Source organism: Homo sapiens, chromosome 10 (genome assembly GCF_000001405.40).
Source record: "Homo sapiens chromosome 10, GRCh38.p14 Primary Assembly".
Classification (NCBI taxonomy): Eukaryota; Metazoa; Chordata; class Mammalia; order Primates; family Hominidae; genus Homo; species Homo sapiens.
In genome coordinates this window covers 36420957-36442134 of record NC_000010.11, presented here as the reverse complement: position 1 = coordinate 36442134, position 21178 = coordinate 36420957, and the positions used below count along the sequence as shown (strand labels likewise).

The 21178-nt window shown below is 37.9% G+C and overlaps 1 non-coding gene and 2 pseudogenes across 1 annotated transcript, besides 1 other annotated feature; 2 read left to right on the top strand and 1 right to left on the bottom strand.

Moving 5' to 3' along the window:
• Positions 1-3346: 3346 nt before the first annotated feature.
• On the bottom strand, positions 3347-3474 carry LOC124900298 (small nucleolar RNA SNORA40). Its single transcript, XR_007062406.1, has one exon. It is a non-coding gene; the product is annotated as a small nucleolar RNA SNORA40 (small nucleolar RNA).
• Positions 6961-7444, top strand: MTND4P18 (MT-ND4 pseudogene 18; annotated as a pseudogene).
• MTND5P17 (MT-ND5 pseudogene 17) lies at positions 7657-9272 on the top strand (annotated as a pseudogene).
• Positions 19729-20230: an enhancer, noted in NCBI's record as "NANOG hESC enhancer chr10:36710833-36711334 (GRCh37/hg19 assembly coordinates)". NCBI's record gives its function as "activates a minimal SCP1, AML or CMV promoter by ChIP-STARR-seq in naive H9 embryonic stem cells {active_cell/tissue: H9 hESC(naive)}" and the evidence as "EXISTENCE:reporter gene assay evidence [ECO:0000049][PMID:30033119]".

The following is a 21178-nucleotide window of genomic DNA, read 5'->3' as shown; positions in this document are numbered from 1 at the left end:
CATTGTTATTATGGGTCCAGGGAAGGGGGGGGGGGTAAAATCTAGAGACAGAGGTAAACTTACCATTAAAGGTAGAGATGGGATCTTAAAATATTAATATTCCCACTAGTTGCTGGAGATTCCTTTCTGATTTTCCTCTGTGTTTCCCCTAATGTTTCCATTCAGACCAAGACAAAAACTAGGATGTGATTTGGAATAAAAGGTGATCTCCTACGAATCCAGACTTGCGCAATGGCTGGGCCCTCATTGGCTCCCTGAGGAACAAAGGTAGGTGAGCCTTACTACTGTTCTTAGGAACCTGGCGTTCACAGGATTGCAGGGCCCTGGTACATTTGTGAGCGAGTGCATGGACGCATGTTTACAGGAATCTCGTATGCTATCTCTCAGACACAGATAAACTTGTCAGCCACTTACCAGGCATTGAAAACTGTTCCAGACCCAAAATATCATCCCATCAGTCCACCAGCCACTCAGAAATTCTCTAGAGTTGAGTCACCCCTTATCTAGGCCAAGTTCCTGTTAAATACCAATAGCTTTAATTAGGGGCGAAGTAACATATTAACCCATTAGTAAATCTCAGCTGTTTTGCAGCCAGCAGGACTTTCAAGGAAAGGGGCAGATGGCAGAATGCATGATTCCAGATTGATGCAGACCATGGGTATTGAGTGAAATGTGAAAATCATGGCAGGGCACAGTGGACAATGCAATTGTATGTGGTGAGAATGAACATCTTGCCATTTTGAAGGATACCAAGATAAGGCTTTATCCTTGAGAGACAAGACTTGCAATAACTACAGTGCCACATCTACTGTGATAACAGCTATAAGTCAGACATTAAAACATGAGTAAAACCTAATACATTTCTTCATAAAGGTATCATCAACTAAGCTCAGAAAATCACAATAAAAGTACACAAATAATAAAAGCACAGCAATCGATATAAAGTATCAGTAAATACTTGTCTAAATGAACAAGCATCCCTGTAGAAGTACTAGTAATAGAACATAGAATTTCAAAGAAGGGTGAAACAGTGTATCTAGCTGTACTTTTCACTAAAGACTTTAGAAAAATTAGGCCGTTTTAAAGGCTGGGTAAGATGTTAGCAGGTTGATATAAAAGGAAGGAGGAAAGGGACAGCACATCTGGTACACAGAACAGCATTAACCATGGCACAGGGCTGGGAAAGTTGAACAGATATTTAGGAACCTGCTTAGAGTTCACTTTGGTTATAGCACAAGAAACATAGGAGAAACAGTGGAGAAAAAGGAAAAAGGGATAGCCCTGTTTTAAGGGAGAACACTGAAAACCATTAAATGTTGGACTAAGGTGCGTGTATTTAATGACAGAAATGCACTGAAGTTTTTATTGGAATTTTTAAAACAGAAAATGACATCATTGTTACCCAAGTTAGAAAATTTCAGTCCTACAAAATGGAAGTCACATGCAAGATTAGTGACAGGAAGAGACACCAGGGTCCATCAGATGTCCAGGATGGATATCCAGGACATGTGGCAGAGGATCTTTAGAAAAGTGACTAGGCTGTGAGGGCAAAGAGGATGAAAAAGGGTCAGAACAATTTTTGAGTTTCAATTCTACAAAGCTGTCACAATGGGTAAAAAGGGCAAAAGAGAAGACAATGTAGTGTTTGTTCTCGTTTGGTTCACAATGGACACATAAAGGAAAATGTTCTCCAGATATCCAGTGAAAGATTTTGGCAGACAGTGGAAAATGTAGCTTTTGGATTCAGGAGGTCATCAGGTATAAAGGACAATGTCTGTGTGGGATTTACAGGGAAGTCGACAAGGGTTGACTAAGAAGCCAAATGGAGGATCCAGGTAAGCTGGGGAACATGTGGAGTCAGCGTGATCTCCAAGTTTACATGACACTTCTAGGAACAGGAGAAAAGATGAGAGACTTTAGGAATTACTCAAGTATGAGAATTAGCAAAATGCTCAAGTAGATGAGGGAGAAAATCACAGAGAAAAAATGTCTCAATAACTCAATTAACTGGAATCATTTAAAAATCACTAGGGCAATTCCTTGCTGGCAAGCTCAGTCATTTTCTAGAAATGATGTCATATGAAATAAAGGCTACAACCTTTATTTCTAGCTTCTCATCTATAAATTACCTTGAGAATCTTAAAAAATGAAAATAAAGATCATCTTCTAGCTTAAAGGAAAATATCTGTGTTCATGTGAGGCAGACTCTTGCTTCGACCCTCATGACATGGAACACGTGTGTCCTCTTGTACCCCAAACAGGTGTGGCTTCATCAGGGTTTCCTTTCTTTCTTTCTTTCTTTCTTTCTTTCTTTCTTTCTTTCTTTCTTTCTTTCTTTCTTTTCTTTTCTTTCTTTCTTTCTTTCTTTCTTAACAGCATAAAGAGGTGTTTTTTTTTTAATTGTGTGTATGTAACATTAGGCAAAATTATTTAAAGTCAATAAATTTTTATTCGAGGAATTCCATCTTGTGATTTCTTTCATTCTCCATCAAGGTCACTTTAGATCCTCTAAAGAACTGGTGTCAAAATTTATCTTCAAAAGATTTGTCTTCAAGTTAGCCCTTTTTACTGAAACTGATGCTTATTTTAATCCAGTTGTCCTGTCAGCCCATAATTATTTTATTTTGGTTTTTGTCATCTCCTTTTTACATGGATATACTGATGAAGACTTCAAAATTCACCTATGGAAAAATCAAGAATCTTTGAGGTCTAATTTCTTTAACCAACTTACTTTAGGGTCATTTTTAGTATAGGTGGATCTGCCTCGTTCTCAATTTGATGCCCTAAGCAATCATACTCAATAGTACAGATGTGTGGAATATGTCAATACCTTTAACTCCAGACATCATGTTCTCAAGATAAAAGCTTTTAAAACCAAATGCCATCTTCTGTATCAAGTCAACATGAAATTGGAATACAAATTTAATACAGCTGAGGATTTCCCTCATATCCCATGCTTTTTAACTATCTATTCTACAGTCCTAGAATCAATCTTTTTGAAATTAAGAGTCAGGGTCTGTCTTTGCTGCCCAGGTTGGAGTACAGTGGTGCCATCAAAGCTCAGTGCAGCCTGCAACTCCTGGGGTCAATCCTCCTGCCTCAGCCTCCCATTCCTGAGTAGCTGCAAGTACAGGCACATGCCCCTAAACCCAGCTAATTTTTAATTTTTTGTGGAGATAAGGTGTTACTTTCTTGCCCAAGCTGGACTTAAACTCCTGGCTTCAAGCAGTCCTCCAACCTCAGTCTCCCAAAGTATGGGGATGGCAAGCATGAGCCACTGAGCCTGGCCTGGAACCAACCTCTGTGGTTATCAATACTCCCATCAGTTAACTGTCTCAGGTATCATAATATCCCTTCTTATATGTATCAAAACTCATACTGAACAATGAGTTCCAGGTTGCAAAAGAGGACTTATTTTTTGCACCTATCCACAAGTCTTTGTCCACAAGTTAAACAAAAACATACAGAAGTGCAGTCATCGGGGTTTTCTTGACCACTGAACTCCAAACATCATCTTTGCCTGTGTGAGCAAGAAAACAAATTCTAGTTGGACTTTTTAGTAGTTATAGAGAATGACAACCAGCAAAGCAACTCAAAAGATTAAAAGCAATGCTCGAATTGACTCCTAATAATTACTCCTATTACCAAATGGCAGTCAGTGATTGTTTTCTCCCATTTCTCAGTTTTTCACATGCTTTCTGATTATAATAGATTTGTGAATCAGCAGGGGAAGAATGTAGTATGAGGAACTTAGATATTCTTGTGATTGCTGCAGAAAACAAAATAACTGATGAGTCGAAGAAAACTAGTCTGTGTAATGGATTTTGTGGCCTTTGAAATTATTCCGGCCGGGCGCGGTGGCTCACGCCTGTAATCCCAGCACTTTGGGAGGCCGAGGCGGGTGGATCATGAGGTCAGGAGATCGAGACCATCCTGGCTAACAAGGTGAAACCCCGTCTCTACTAAAAATACAAAAAATTAGCCGGGAGCGGTGGCGGGCGCCTGTAGTCCCAGCTACTCGGGAGGCTGAGGCAGGAGAATGGCGTGAACCCGGGAAGCGGAGCTTGCAGTGAGCCGAGATTGCGCCACTGCAGTCCGCAGTCCGGCCTGGGCGACAGAGCGAGACTCCGTCTCAAAAAAAAAAAAAAAAAAAAAAAAAAAAAAAATTATTCCAAAAGTTCATAAAGTGTTTTGTTTCATTCATTTTATTTATTTATTCTAAAGATTTTTCATTAAATATTTAATCAAATTAAATAATTATAATAAATAGCATATAGGCTGTGTAGAATGCTCTGGAGAAAAAGCAAAGATAAAGAATGGGTGGACTCTGCCCTCAGGGTGCTTCTGGTCTGCTAAGAAAGATAAGGCATATACAAGAATAACTACAATGCAAAGTAAAATATTGTCAAGAGCAACTTGCATTTCTCTTACAGAGTAACTGTTATAACCAGAATGACCTTTCCACGATAAACAACTATAAAAATTAAACACAGGCACTATAGGGCTGTGATACTTGAAAGAATGAAAACACATAAATTGAGCTTCCTGATGGCTCCAGCCTTTTGCCTGGAGGCACTTTCTAGAAATAATGCGGAGATGTGCTGTCCAAGCAGAGAAGAGAGATCTCAATGAAATGGGTAGTCAGAAATCAGAGTTCAAGGCTGCCAGGCAGGCTGCATGTACAGGAAAGGGAAAAGTACAGGAAGAAGTGGTGCTGAGAAGCAGCCATGGAAATGTACATCGCTTTCTCCTTAAGTTCTTGGAGGAATACCAAGCAGCACACAGAGACCTCACTGAAAAACCAGGCATTTATCTGAGACCTGAGAGTGCAGTAGAAGTGCATCTATCTACTCTAGACCTGTAAGACTGACTTTTTTTTTCTTTCTTTTTTTTTTAGACGGAGTCTCGCTCTTGTTGCCCAGGCTGAAGTGCAGTGGCATGATCTTGGCTCAGTGCAACCTCTGCCTCCTGGGTTCAAGTGATTCTCCTGCCTCAGCCTCCCGAGCAGCTGGGACTACAGGAGTGTGCCACCACACCCAGCTAATTTTTGTATCCAATCTCTTGACCTTGTGATCCACCCGCCTCAGCCTCCCAAAGTGCTGGGATTACAGGAATAAGCCACAGTGCCCTGCCAAGACTGACTTTATATCCACCTTTACAAAGCTTTTACAGACCATTGGAAAATGAAGCAAAAACTGTTAGTAAACTGTCTACCAAAACCAAACAATCACTCATAAAAAAAATCTTGGCTTTTGATAAAGTGATATTTCACAATATCCACCATAATTTTCATTTTAATTACTAGATATAAAAAAGTGACCAATAACTAATGAATTTTTTGAAAGTCAGTAATTATAGACCCAGAAATGACAAAGAGGTTGGAATTAGCTGACAGATATAAAGGAACTAATGAGCTTAATGAGTGAACAGATGGGGAATCTCAGTAGAGAAATGGTAATTGTACAAAATGTTTACATGGAAATTCCAGACCTTAAAACCTAAAATATCTAAAATTAGTTAATCACTTAACTAGTTAGTAAATTGGATACTGTGGAAACAATATCAGAAAAGCTGAGGAAATCGCATTAAAAAATAACAAAAAGCACATAGAATAAAAATGCTGAAATATTAAATAATGACAGTTTTAAAGACAGTGGGGCAATATCCAATGTTCTCAAATACATGCAATTGGACTCCTAGGAAGAAAGGAGAAAGAAATTGGGATAGAAAATGTATTTGAAGAAATAGCCCCAAATTTTCCAAATTTGCTGAAGATATCAACTCTTAGATCCTAAGCATTCACTAAATTACAAGCAGATTGAACATATACACAATAAAAACTTGTATAACTATCATAGACATATCTCTGAAAAAAACAATGATAAAAAGCAAACTTTTTTTTTTTTTTTTGTTCAAGACAGTCTCACTGTGTTACCCAGGCTGAGTGTAGTGGGACAATCTCGGGTCACTGCAACCTCCACCTCCTGAGTTCAAGCGATTTTTGTGCCTCAGCCTTCCAAGTAGATAGGATTACAGGCATGAGCCACCATGCCCAGTTAATTTTGTGTGTGTGTGTGTGTGTGTGTGTGTGTGTGTATGTGTGTGTGTGTTTAGTAGAGATGGGGTTTCACCATGTTGGCCAGGCTGGTCTCAAACTCCTGGCCTCAAGTGATCTGTCTGCCTTGGCCTCCCAAAGTGCTGGGATTACAGACATGAACCACTGCTCCAGGTCTGAGAAAACCTTAAAAAGCAACAAAACACTAAGTATAATACACCACAAATAGAAGGAAAACATAAATAAAAAGTATTGTATTTCTTATAAAAAAGACAGCAATGCAAGCCAGAAGACAAGGAAATTCTATCTTAAAAATACTGAAAGAAAAGATAACATGTCAATCTAGAATTCTATAACCAGTGAACATTTTTAAAAAATGATGTTGAAATAAAGACATTTTAAAATAAACTAAAGTTAGAAGAATTCAGCACCACAAACTTGCATTGAAAGAAATGTCAAATAAGGTTCTTCAGACTAAAGGAGAAAAATGTCAGATGGAAATTTGGATTACACTTTGAAATAAAAGCCATGGAAGTAGGAACTACACTGGTAAAAATAAAGACATTTTCTTTTTTTAAAACTTGTTTTTAAAAATTGAACCTTAAGGCCAGGCGTGGTGGCTCATGCCTGTAATCCCAGCACTTTAGGAGGCTGAGGTGGGCGGATCACAATGTCAGGAGTTCGAGATGAGCCTGGCCAGCATAGTGAGACCCCATCTCTACTCAAAGTACAAAAAATTAGCCGGGCATGGTGGTGCACGCCTGTAATCCCAGCTACTCGGGAGGTTGAGGCAGGAGAATCCTTTGAACTCGGGAGGTGGAGGTTGCAGTCAGCCAAGATAGCACCATTGCACTCCAGCCTGGACAACAGAGCAAGACTCCATTTAAAAATAAAAAAAATTTAACCTTGTTATCATGGCTATCCTTATTCAAACCCCCTGAAGCTTTACTGGTGCAATTACCCTCATAATTGCCCACAGACTTACTCTGTCCTTACTATTCTGCTTAGCAAATTCAAATTACGAGTGAGTCCACAGCCGAATTATACTGCTCTCTTAACGCCTTCAACCATTACTTCCACTAATAGCTTTTTGATGACTTACAGCAAATCTTACCAACCTTGCCTTACCCCCCACCATTAATCTAATAGGAGGACTCCTTGTAATAATAGCTTCATTCTCCTGATCAAACATTACCATTATGCTTATAGGACTTAATATATTAACCACAGCCCTTTATTCCCTTTATATACTTGTCACAATACAACGAGGAACATGTACATGCTATATTAACAGTATTAAACCCTCCTTTACAAGAGAAAATATATTAATATTTATACATCTTTCACCTATTCTTTTTATCTCTAAACCCTAAAATAATTATAGGCTTTATACCCTGTAAATATAGTTTAGTCAAAATATTAGATTGTGGATCTGATAATAGAAGTCTGTAACTTCTTATTTACTGAGAAACTATGCAAGAACTGCTAACTCATGCCCCCATGCCTAACAACATGGCTTTCTCAACTTTTAAAGTATAAGAGCGACCCATTGGTCTTAGGAACCAAAAATATTGGTGCAACTCCAAATAAAAGTAATAATCATGCATTTTTCCATTACTATAATAACCTTAATCTCCTTAACCTTACCAATCATTATTACCTTCATCAACCCTCGCAAGAAAAACTTGTAGCCATATTATGTAAAAATAGCTATCGCGTGCACGTTCACTATTAGCCTCATTCCCACAACGTTTATGTATACCAACCTAGAAGCCATCACCTCAAACTGACATTGAATAACAATTCAAACCCTTAAACTCTCATTAAGCTTCAAACTAGACTACTTCTCCATGATATTTATTACAGTAGCACTATTCGTCACCTGATCTATTATAGAATTCTCAATATTATATATAAAGTCAGATCCTAACATTAGCCAGTTTTTTCAAATATTTACTTATCTTCCTAACCACAGTATTAATTCTGGTTACTGCCAACAACCTTTTTCAACTTTTTATCAGATGAGAAGGTGTAGGAATTTTGTCTTTTTTACTAATTGGCTGATGACATGGCTGAGCAGATGCTAATACAGCAGCCCTCCAAGCAATCCTACGTAATCGCATTGGTGACATTGACTTCATTTTAGCCATAGCACGATTCCTCTCATCCTCTAATACATGAGAACCTCAAAAAATATTTATCCTAAATCCTATCCCCGATTTTCTTCCATTAATTGGCCTTCTCTTAGCAGCAACAGGAAAATCAGCTCAACTTAGTCTCCACCCCTGACTTCTTTCCGCCATGGAAGGCCCAACCCCATTCTCAGACCTACTCCACTCTAGCACTAGAGTTGTGGCAGAAGTTTTCCTGCTTATCCGCTTCCACCCATTAATAGAGAATAACATGTTAATCCAAAACCTTACCCTATGTTTAGGAGCTAGCACCACCTTATTTACAGCAATCAGTGCTTTAACACAAAATGACATAAAAAAATTATAGTATTCTCCACCTCAAGTCAACTAGGCCTTATAATAGTCACAATTGGCATTAATCAGCCACACCTAGCATTCCTACACATCTGCACCCACGCCTTTTTCAAAGCTATATTATTTACATGTTCAGGATCCATCATCCACAACCTCAACAATGAACAAGACATCCAAAAAACAGGAGGACTATTTAAGACTTTACCCCTTACTTCCTCCTCCCTTATTATTGACAGGCTAGCACTTACAGGTATGCCCTTCCTCACAGGCTTTTACTCTAAATATCTCATCATCAAAAGCACAAACACTTCATATACTAATGCCTGAACCCTCTCTATTACTCTCATTGCCACTTCTCTAATAAGTTTCTATAGTATCCAAATTATTTCCTTCACCCTAATAGGACAACTCTGCATCCCAACCCTAATCAACATTAACGAAAATAACCCTTCCCTAATAAATCCAATTAAATGCCTTATAATCGGCAGTATATTCACTGGATTTCTCATCATCAATAGCATTATCCCTACTTCATCTCCCCAAACAACAATATCACTTGATCTAAAACTTACAGCCCTAAGTGTAGCCATCCTAGGACTCTTACTGTCAATAGAACTTAGTTTTATAACTAATACTCTTAAAATAAAATACTCATTACAAATATTCAACTTCTCTAATATACTAGGATTTTACCCAATCACAACTCACCGTACAACCCACCATAAGGTATATACAAAATAAAATAAAATATACAACAGTGGAATAAAGGATGAGGGAGCAGTGAAAGTATGTTGTTACACATCTCTCATCTAATATGTGAAGTGGTATGTAATATTGCCTTTTCGACAGAGACTGTGATATGCTCTCCGTTTGCATGCTGCAAACCATAGACCCACCTCTAAAACTAAAACAAAAGTGTATTGTTAATGAGACAATAATCAAGATAAAACAGAATACACACACACACACACACACACACACACACGCACACACACACACACACACCACTTATTAATCCAAAAGAGGTGAGGACAAGAAGCAAAGGGAAACAAAGAATAGATGGGCCAAATAGTGGGAGAAATGACAGGATGTAAACCCAATTACATCAATAATTACTTTAAATGCAAACGGATGAAACACTCCACAATTTAAAGTACAAATTGTCTGTCTAGAAAACACACATACAAGATTCACTATATGCTTTTAACAGGAGATTTATTTTACATATAAGAAAACAACTAGGTTAAAAGTACAATGATGGGAAAAGATAAAACATGCAAATGTTAATCATAAAACAGCTGGAGTGGGTAGAAAGTGTATGTTTCAAGGCATGGAGTATTAACTGAGATAATGAAGGACATTTCATAATGATAAAAAGTTCAATTCTTTGGCCGGGCGTGGTGGCTCACGTCTATAATCCCAGCACTTTGGGAGACGGAGGTGGGCGGATCACGAGGTCAGGAGATCGAGACCATTCTGGCTAACACGGTGAAACCCCGTCTCTAATAAAAATACAAAAAAATTAGCCGGGCTTGGTGGCAGGCGCCTGTAGTCTCAGCTACTCGGGAGGCTGAGGCAAGAGAATGGCGTGAACCCGGGAGGCGGAGCTTACAGTGAGCCGAGCTCGCACCATTGCACTCCAGCCTGGGCGACAGGGTGAGATTCCGTCTCAAAAAAAAAAGTTCAACTTTTCAAGGAGACATATATGCTCACCTTATAAAAGAAACTCAAGATACATAAAACAAAAACTGAGATAATTAAAGGAGAAATAGACAAATCTGCAATTATAATTGAAGATATTAACTCTTCTGTTTCAATTATTAATAGAAACTAACCAAAAGTAAAACAAAAAATAGTAAGGATATAGAAGATCTGATCAACACCCTCAGTACACTTGACCTAATACAACAGTTCATCAACGAGCAGCAGAATATACATGCTCTTCAGGTACACATGGAATATTTACAAAGATGCACCATATGATGAGACATAAATCTCATTAATTTAAGACTACTGACATGACAGAGAGTGTATTTTCCAAACATAGCAGAAGTAAAGTAGAAATTAAAAGCAGAAAGATATTTGTAGAATCCCCCAAATATTTTTGATTTTTGAAAATCAAAAATCACATTTTTTTTTTTTTTTTGAGATGGAGTCTTGCTCTGTTGCTCAGGCTGCAGTAGAGTGGGCGATCTCCGCTCACTGCAAGCTCCGCCTCTCAGGTTCACACCATTCTCCAGTAACTTACCTTCCCACCAGACAGCTAAAGTTAAAAGGATTGACATCAGGCTGGGTGTGGTGGCTCACACCTATAATCCCAGCACTTTGGGAGACCAAGGTGGGCGGATCACCTGAGATCACGAGTTTGAGACCAGCCTGACCAACATGGAGAAACCCCATCTCTACTAAAAATACAAAATTAGCCAGGTGTGGTGACGCATACCTGTAATGCCAGCTACTCGGGAGGCTGAGGCAGGAGAATCGCTTGAACCTGGGTGGCAGAGGTTGCGGTGAGCCAAGATTGCGCCATTGCACTCCAGCCTGGGCAACAAGAATGAAGGTCCATCTCAAAAAAAAAAAAAAAAAGACTGACACCAACTATTGAAGAGGTAGGCAGCTGAATCTTATTCATTAGAGTATAAAAGGTTTTAAACACTTTGGAAAATATGGCAGTATTTATCCATGATAAATGAAAATGTATGTGCATAAAGATTGTTCATAGTAGCTTTCTTCTAATAGCCAAAAAACTGACAATAATAAATTTTCATCCATGAATGAACAAGTTATGTTGTACTCATCCAATGGAATACAACTAAGCATTAAAAATAATCAACAATTGATAGGTGATAAAATATGGTTTACTCTCAAATATAGTTTAAGTGAAAGAAACTACAATATTAAAGAAGACACTATTATACTGAATGATTCCTTTTATATGAAGTCGTAGAAATAGTAAAAATAATCTGTAGTCAAAGACATCAGAACACTAGTTGCATTCGGCAAGGAGTAGTAGTGGAGACTGACTGTCCAAGGGCCATAGGGAATTTTCTGGGATAATGCACATACTCTGTATCTCTATTTCAGGGGTATGCATTTCTTAGCACACATTAAACTATACTATTGAGAATTGTGCATTTTACTATATATAAAGTTGTTCTTAAGTAAAAACAGTAAAAAGGGAAAAAAAGTGGTCAAGAATTTAACACACAATGTGTTAGGATAGTTATGATGGGAAAAAAAGATTGTGTTCATTCTGTGAAGCAAGTATTGTGGATATCTTAGAAAAGGTGATATTTCTTCTGGCCCTTAAAAATTATAACGGATTCTGGACCACAGACATTGTGGGAAGGAAATTCCAGTAAGATTTATGTATAAGAGTAAGCAAAGGTATAATTACAGAAGTATGTGGGATATTCAATGAGCAACAATTAATTTCTTTTAGCTAATGAGTAAAAGGAATGATGAAGCCAGATGGTTGAGGAATTCAAAGGGAAGAAGATTGGATTTTATTCTATAGGTAATTGAGGGACACAAGTGATTTTGCACAAGTGAGTGAAATGATCAGAACTATGGTTTTGAAGGTATAATACAAATGACAAAGTGAATGAATAAGAGAAAGAGAAGAAATTGTGAGGCTCTTGAAATATTCCATCTAGATAAAATGAATACAGCTGCCGTAGGAAAAGAAAGGAGGGATCAAATCAAGGAACAAAACATTCTGGGTGTAAATCAGAAAAACTCAGCACATGTTGGACCAAAATAGCAAAGAAAGAGTAGGGCTAAATAATGATGTAAGTTTTCAAGTTATAATTGCCCAGTAGAGTGTTGACAACATAAATAAAATTTCTTGGGTCTATTTCTGAATTTGCCTTAGGTAACAAACTGTTTAAATAATATTTTTAAAAAATATAGTAATGGTTTAATTTGTGTCATGCTTGAAACAGACTGAAAGAGTGTCTGGAGTTTAATGAAGACCAGTTGTATGTTTAGGCAGAGGTTCTCCTGGTTTCCTTATAAGAAAGAAACTGTCGAAATTTCCACAACTCACTTCCACCCCAGCCAAATATGCCTCTTATGCTACTTTCATTCGTTTTCATTAATACTCTACTTCCATTAGAAATAAAAATACCTCCTAGAAGGTGTCACATACACATCCATTACTATTTTAGTCTGAATCAGTGTCTTGAAAAATAACTTCGTGGTCATCTGTCAGGCCACAGAGTCATGACATGGAGATCAGGTAAGTTTCAAAGAAACAGTGGGGGTGGCGGGGGGAAAGCATCACCTTATAGATCCCTGAAGTAAGGAGTCTGGGAAGCCAGGATGAAATGGAGTCATGAGGACGCAGCCTCTCTGAACCAATGCAATGAAGGGAAGGGAGAAGAAAAAAGCAGAGGGAGGCAAAGATGTGGGAGAGTAATTTCTATCCATTTCTTAACTGTAAGACCAAATAGTGACACAAAGCAAACAGCAAAATCTCCAGTAGCTGTAGCATAGGCAAGCACATTCAGTGTCAGTCATAATGAAAGAGGATGAGGAATTGTCTTTATTCAGGCTGTGGTAACAAAATACCTTAGACTGGGTAATATATAAACATTGCAATGGGTCTGGAGGCTGGGAAGTCCAAGATCAAGGCATCAGCAGATTTGGTGTCTGGTGAGGACCCTTCCCTCATAGATGGTGCTTTCCATGTGTCCTCACATGGTGGAAGAAGCAAGGCAGCTCTCTGGGGCCTCCTTCACAAGGGCATAAATCCCATTCATGGGATGGCGTCCTCATGGCCTAATCAACCCCAAAGGCCCCACCTTCTAATATCATCACCTTGGTGATTAGATTTAAACATACAAATTTTTGGGGAACACAGACATTCAGACAAGGAATTGGCTTTGTGCCAGCACCATCACTTCCATTCAGGCAAACTGTGAAAGAGAGGACTCAAGATGTGTAGTAATCACTGGTATCTTTGGGTTTCTTCCTCTCCCATCAATCACTATCAAAACCAACTTCGACACTCAGGTACAGAAAAATGATTAACCCCTGAAAATGTTACTTGCTTTCTGTATAAAGTATGGTAGTGTAGCTCAATGGCTTTCACCTTTTTGGCCCAAAGTAAGAGATGCATTTTACAATATGTCCTTATAAGCACAGGTATATAAAACAGACAAAACTGATACTGAATTCTCTTCCATTCTATTCTATTTCATCCCATCTCCTCTTATTCCATCCATTCCACTGCACTCTACTCCACTCTACTCCATTTCATTCCATTCTAATTTGTTCTACTTTATGTCATTAAAAAATTCTGGTCTCAACCTATGCATTGATGTCATGGCTCACTAAAAGATTGAGAATGACAATTTGAAAAGCACAGACATGTTGTATCAGAGTTCAGGCTGTGTGTGCAGGTGTGAGTTCCTCTATGTGTGTCTATATTTAACATGTAAATGTACCCCTTACTCTGTACCCCAGACATGTACATTTTGCTATCCTCAGTCCTATCATATGTAATACCCTTTTTATAACTAATAGGTTGAATCACTCCTTTACTTTCCTGGAAAAAATCAAGTGCTAATGTAACACACAGTGCTCACATAGTATTAAGCAATTATTATACTAATATAAAATCAAAGAGAAATACTTTATGATAAAAATATGGATTTCATGCCCAGGCACAACCACACTAAAAGATGTACCAATTTTTTCTGTGTTTTTTTTTCTTTTTGTGGAGAACAGGGTCTTGCTATGTTGCCCAGGCAGATCCGGAACTCCTGGGCTCAAGTGAACCCCCCAACTCTGCCTCCCTAAGTGCTGGGATTACAGGTGTGAGCTACTGCACCGAGCCAGACTAGAAGATGTTATAAAGTGATCCCACTCACACCTATGCATACAGTCACCATGAACCTGACCACTCCAAATTTAGATGACTGTAAGGGTGTTGTATTGGAGGCTCACATACTACAGTTGTGATGTCAGCAGCTACCTGATTTTCCAAAATGTTGAACAACTCTTGGTAAAGTTCTGATCAAAACAAATTTGTATTCAGGTCTATCTTCACTCAAGTAAGCTTTGCATCATTAGTAAATTTATTGCATATTAAAACCCTGCAAATGTTATTTGTATTTATGTATAAAACAGATTTAGGTTTTAGGATCAGAAAATTAGATAATTGGTTACATGAATATCCAGAAACACCCTAAAGTTGTGTGGGGCTCTCTCACTCATTGCAGAAGATTTAACATCCTTGGCGTCTATTCTCCAAATGCATCCTCTCCTAATCTGTGTGAAAATCAAAACTGTCCTATAATTTTCTAACTGCATCATCTTTTTTGAAAACACAATTCTAGAGTAAGGCAGCCCTGCCATTTATCAATTGTTTGGTTTTGGGCAAGCTGTTCAACCTAAGTCCCAAATGTCCTCATCAATAATATTGAGAAAATATAAAGAACTATTCAACAGTGTTTTATTGAAGATTAAGTTAAGTCTGATATAATAGCACAGTGCCTAGAAACACAGTGAGCAGTGTAATAGTTGTGTGTAATCTTAATAATTGTTATTTTAGAGGGTCTCTACATTACTGCTGTAATAAAAATGATAATAATAATTGAACTTCAAAATATACTCATTCTATGACATACAATCGTTCTTCTAGTACAGAAATAATCAAATAGTATACAAAGATTTTTACACAAATGTAATTGCTACAGGATTATTTAAAACAAGAGAAAATGTGAAATACTCCAAAATATTCAACAATAGAAGTTGTTCAAATATATGATGAAAATATAACATGATTGGACACTAAAACCCATAAGAACAACCTGAGAAAATGTTTAAAGATAATGCATAGATAAGTACAAATTACAAAATGGCATATACAGAATAATTCAAGATTTATTAAATATATATATATAGTACATGCATACACAAGTATTTATAAAAGTCTTGAAAAAGATAGGCCAACCTGTTAATAATGTTTTTCCATGAACAATTATATGATAGGCCATATTTTAAATGATTGTCATCATTCAATTAGTCAATGAGAAGTCTGAATTAACTTTTCAACAGAAAATAATGTTTGAATGGGTATACATCTATATATCTCTGCTTTTGTTGTTTTTTACAGAAAGCAAACAAAAAACAATCTTGTCTTTTTTAGTAGCATTGCTACTAAAACACCAGGGGTTCGGTCTAGGTCCTGCTGCTTACTGCACAGAAAGCCAATGACTGAGACGCCAAGTATTGTCAAGGAAGAAGGCTTTAATCAGGTGCCACAGCCAAGGAGACAGAAGCTCAGTCCCACATCCATCTCCCTGACTGAATAAAATCAGGGGTTTATATTGCAGGCAAGAAATGTAACAATGTGTAAGAAAACAGGAACTTGGGAGAGGTAAAGAAGCCGTCATGGTGAAAGAGGGGTCCAGCATCGATACCATGATCTGGTTTCAGTTCTTCAGTACTTTTTGTGAGGCCTGAAGGTGGTCTCCTGAGGAAGGAACTCAGATAAAACAAATATGTTTCAAGCTTTTTAAGATCAGAAGGGTCAATTTCTACGTTTATCAAAAAGAACATTCTATGAGACAATTGGGTCAATTTCAGTATTACCATCCTGGTAAACAAAAATGATTACTCTTACAGCAAAATCTCAAGTCACTCAACAGATGAAAGATCTTGGCTGGTTTTGCAATGAGTGAGGTGGGTGAGAAAAAGCATCGGTTATTTACCGTCATGCTTTTAGGTAATCATCCAGACTACTGATGGAAAAAACCCATGTCCTATGGAGAGTGCAGTCCATGTTCTTTATTCCCTAAGCAAATCCCTATCACTTCTGGAGATGCTGCAGTGAGCACTGGTCAGATTCCTTCTGGTGTTGAACTGCTGGTCTTCACCACATGTGGCATATTACAAAAGTCCATGTCATGAAACCCTCTGGGATACCATAATGAGGAACTGACAAAGAAGAAAAACATTGCAAAGTGCAACAGCAGCAATAATAACCATTGAATTTGCTTGCCTTTTCATTTGTTTAAAGTATGTATACAAACATGCACAACAATAACATTACTAAATATTGGTGAGAACCAACATTTGAAATTTACATAATTATTGAGCTTGGTGAAAGCTGAGTCTAAAAATTGATGATACATGAAGAAAGATAATAAACAATTGCTTAAGAGCCATTTTCAACTACATTTCTGGAAGGTTTTAAATTTTCCTTTATGAGCAGTCATAGCAGAAATGTGGTTTTTTTCCTAAGCCAACTCTTACTCTGTTTAGTCTCTAAGCCCCTGAGGTGCACACTGGAAGATGGGGAAGGAGCTTTAAATAAGCCAAGATTTTATGAATATAAAAAATTGAATCTAGGCTATGTCTAAATATAACATTACTTTCCAATACATAAAGTAATTTATTTAAAAAAATCAATTTAAAGTCATAAACATGGAGCTTTTGAGTCACTTGTGTGATGCAACAAAATATATAATTAGAGGTGTCTTCTAATATTATTCACCTGAGCTAATTTTGCCAATTAAAGCTAAAAGCATGAGAACAGGTCAATAACATGGATCCTTTTAATTCTTTTTGAAACAAAAGTCCTGTGTATCTCTCCTGTTCTAGAAGAGAATGCTTGTTTTGTGATAACTCCATGTTTCTGGTTTACCTTTTTAACTAATAAGGAAGATAATTTCTTTTTTCAGTTACTCATTTCCTCTTACATAATGCAGTTCTGCAGTTTAAATGCTAATTGGCCATTTTGGCTGAGGAATTCCTACTTAAAAGGTTTGCCATTTAATCCTAAAGTGTCTTTTGATTTCTTGAGAATGATTAAATGGAAATTCAGCCCTGGTTCAGTATCGTAGAAGCCCATGTGTGCTCCCCTGTTGAATTTCCATGGTTTGAGCATCCTGCTGGGAAAGTCAGGCTGAGATTTTATTGAATTGGGCCCTCCGTATTCAGACTCAAAATAACCTCCAGCACACTGATAAAAATAATGACCCTTTTGCAGTTGTAAAACTTGAAACTATTCCTTGAATGTTAACTAATACCAAAAAGCTGTTTCTGCAAATGAAATGTGGGCATTGGAGCCAAGAAATTACTCTGGATGAAGACCTAGAAATGACATTCCACTCTCTCTTTCAGTAATTACAGAATTCTGAACTTTTCATCAAAGTGGGTGAAGCCATCACTCTAGATGTCATTAAGAGAAGGGTACGTAGAGATGATGATGACCCTGGCAGTGTGTTAGGATGTAGTCATCTTTGCCTACAGAATTCACCAAGAATGACTTCTTAGTCTCCAGTGCTAATGGCTTCTACAATAATAAGATTATGTAGCTGATGGAAAGCAAAACTTAAAAACTCAAATAAGTGTTAGGAAATGCTGTAACTTGCAGTATTTGACATCTATTTCCCAAAGCCCTTAACATTGTAAACACTTTCAGGTAAAATGACTCAGTTCTCTCATCTTCCTTCTCTCAGAAGCCAGGAAGTCTTTTACTCACAGCCCGTTTAATGGGCAATGGGAAATAGCCCTATTAGCTAAGTTTATTTATGCTGACACAAAGAAAACCATGAAGAAAAATCCAAGTTCTAAACTGTAATTTATTCCTGATAAGTAGTAAATCAGCGGGATTCCACTGCCCAAGTAGGGAGGGACTTGCTGTTAAACAAGAACTGAAACATAATGAGCCTCATAAATGTTCACAGCCTTACGGAGCAGTTATTTATACATGAGCTCATTCAACAAACTCTCCTGCTGGCCTGGCCATGATAACCTGGTGTACCCAAGACACTATAAGATATATAAGAAAAATGGTGAACGAATTCTAGAGTTGAGTTCAAGAAAAGTTTTTTGTTCTCAATTTTCTTCTTCCAAGCTTTTCTGAACACCTATGTCAGTTTTTCAAATCCAAGTCCTCTGCTCCTGTTGTTGATGTTTTTGGTAAAGGTAACAATTGTCTAGACCATATTATATGAGATGTAGATAAACAAATTTTGACAATTTTTCTCCAGCTAAAACAGAAAATGGTTAACCCCATAAAAGATGAAGTAGAACATTTATAGAGCAAAATCATACTTTTCTTATTGCCTAAGTAAATTATGGTCTGATACAGTGCACACATCAAATATATGAATGAGTGCATTTCTATATTCAAGTAGAGAATGTGACAAAAAATTGGGCTATAGTGAAGCATCATATTGAAATGATCAAAAAGAAGCCTGATGGGTTAAGAGAAAGAAGGCCTGAATTTTAATCTCAGGTTCTCTATTTTCCAGCTATGTAAACTACATTAACTAACATAACCTCAGTTCTATAAGTTTGATCAGAAAGTAAAGGAACAGAAAGAAATGAATCTGGAGATGCAGGAGTGGAAGGAGGTAGGGGAAATTCTGGAACACAAAAGCACTGTTAAGTTAGGGTGGAGCTAAAACAGATGGCAGTGTGGTGGCCTGGTTACCTGGTAGCAGCATGAGTATCTGGAACACCTTGGGGTATGTTAGGCCGTAAACAAACAAAGAAAAAGATAGAGTGCCAAATGTTAGCTTCTACCGTGTGTGTGTGTGTGTGTGTGTGTGTGTGTGTGTGCGCGCGCGCGCGCAAGAGGTCACCTTGGATGGTTTGGAACATTTCCCTGAGAGTGTAGTCTAAAACCCTTGCTACTATGTAACCACTGGCATCTGCTTCTAGCCCACAAGCTGCTCTGCATGTGGAAATACACCTGCTTTTGAATTGCACTGATGTTTTCCAGTAGACTTGGTCTTTTGTTTTCAGCAAGGAAGAGGAGGGAGAGAACAAGGGCTTTGTTTTCTTATTTAATTGTAAGTCCTGCTTCTGACGCTTTTTCCATAGCTCAGCTTTGTCTATAAATTCTCAAGCAGGCCAAGCACACACTTTGAATTTTGTGTAGCCCTCGCTAAGGCACTGAAGGGAAAGTAAAAGTGAGAAGAAAGAGGGAGAAAGGTCAGAAAAAGGACCCCGGGGCACATTTTATTACACCAAGAGTATACCTGATACATGTTCTAAAGATGCAGGTCTCACAGATCAAATCCTGGGAACAGGGTCAGGAGCTCAATTCAGGTATTCAAGATGGGGCACTCTTATGAGCTCTCTTTAAATATAAATGCAGATTTGATTGCTTTGGGAACAAAATGCCCAGGAATTCACTGACGATAGTAGTCTGTTGTTACCTCTTTTTGTTTTCTTTCTATGTTGAAGAGTTTGCTGTTTATAAGTGGGACTTCAATATCCTAAGTTTGTGTTGAGACATACTCACTTGGAAAAGCCATTTTTAACCTGGGAGGGATTTTAAGGACTAACAGAAATGGAGGCCAAAACAAAAGGGCTACTCCCTATATATAAGACAGCTTTGGCTCCTCTTCTTCTGTGTCATGCATTGTTTCCAAAATACTCTTGGCTCCCCTGATGGGAAACTTGTGCCTGTGAGTGAAACTCCTTATGTTGATTTGCATGTCTAAGTAGGGACATCACAATCTGTATGACCTCATTAAAAGCCTTTTCTTCATTTACCTAAAATGTGCATGCACTGCATTTCTCAAATAAAAATATTAACTCAAAGGAATACACCAAATTATAATAACAGATTATATAAGCAATTTCTTAAAATATATGTCTTAAATATATTTACCTCCCTGGGAAGGGACTGAAAGCATGGCTATTCCCAGAACTCTCTCTCGTTCTTTCCCTCTTCCCTTCACTTTGCTCTAGAAAGCATCTACATTTTGGATCATATACTCATTTCTATGCATAACTCTAGGAGAACTTTGAAAAGTATGGTCCAAGTTTTATAAAAATTGCATGGACTTTATTTCTGCACTAGAAAAAGTATTATCATCTATTTAAGAATCAGTCATTTATTGAAAGTACAGTTTACAGAAAAAAAATAAAATGAAAAACATGTGTTTTACCTGCCTTTGTCCACGAAGATGAATAAAGTCTGTGAAACCATAAAACACACACGTGGGACACTCTTTTTGTCCAACACAAACCAGACAAAAACCTAACACAAATACAAAAATTGTAGTTTTAAATAAGAGTGGTTCCTTCCATAAAAGCAGAAACTGGGCTTGACGTGGTGGCTCACACCTGTAATCTCAGCACTTTGGGAGGCTGAGGTGGGTGGATCACGAGGTCAGGAGATCGAGACCATCCTGGCTAACATGGTAAAACCCTGTCTCCACTAAAAATACAAAAAATTAGCCAGGCGTGGTGGCGGGTGCCTGTAGTCCCAGCTACTTGGGAGGCTGAGGCAGGAGAATGGCATGAACCTGGGAGGCGGAGCTTACAGTGAGCTGAGATTGCGCCAGCCTGGGTGACAAAATGAGACTCCGTCAAAAAAAAAAAAAAAAAAAAGCAGAAACCAGTTATTTCTGTAATAGTAAGAAAATAGGTGACGGGCACTGTGGCTCACGCCTATAATCCTAGCAATTTGTTAGGCTGAGGCAGGCGGATCACCTGAGGTCAGGAGTTCAAGACCAGCCTGGTCAACATGGTGAAACCCTCTCTCTCCTAAAAATACAAAAATTAGCTAGGTGTGGTGGCACATGCCCATAATCCCAGCTACTTGGGAGTCTGAGGCAGGAGAATTGCTTGAACCTGGGAGGCGGAGGTTGCTGTGAGCCAA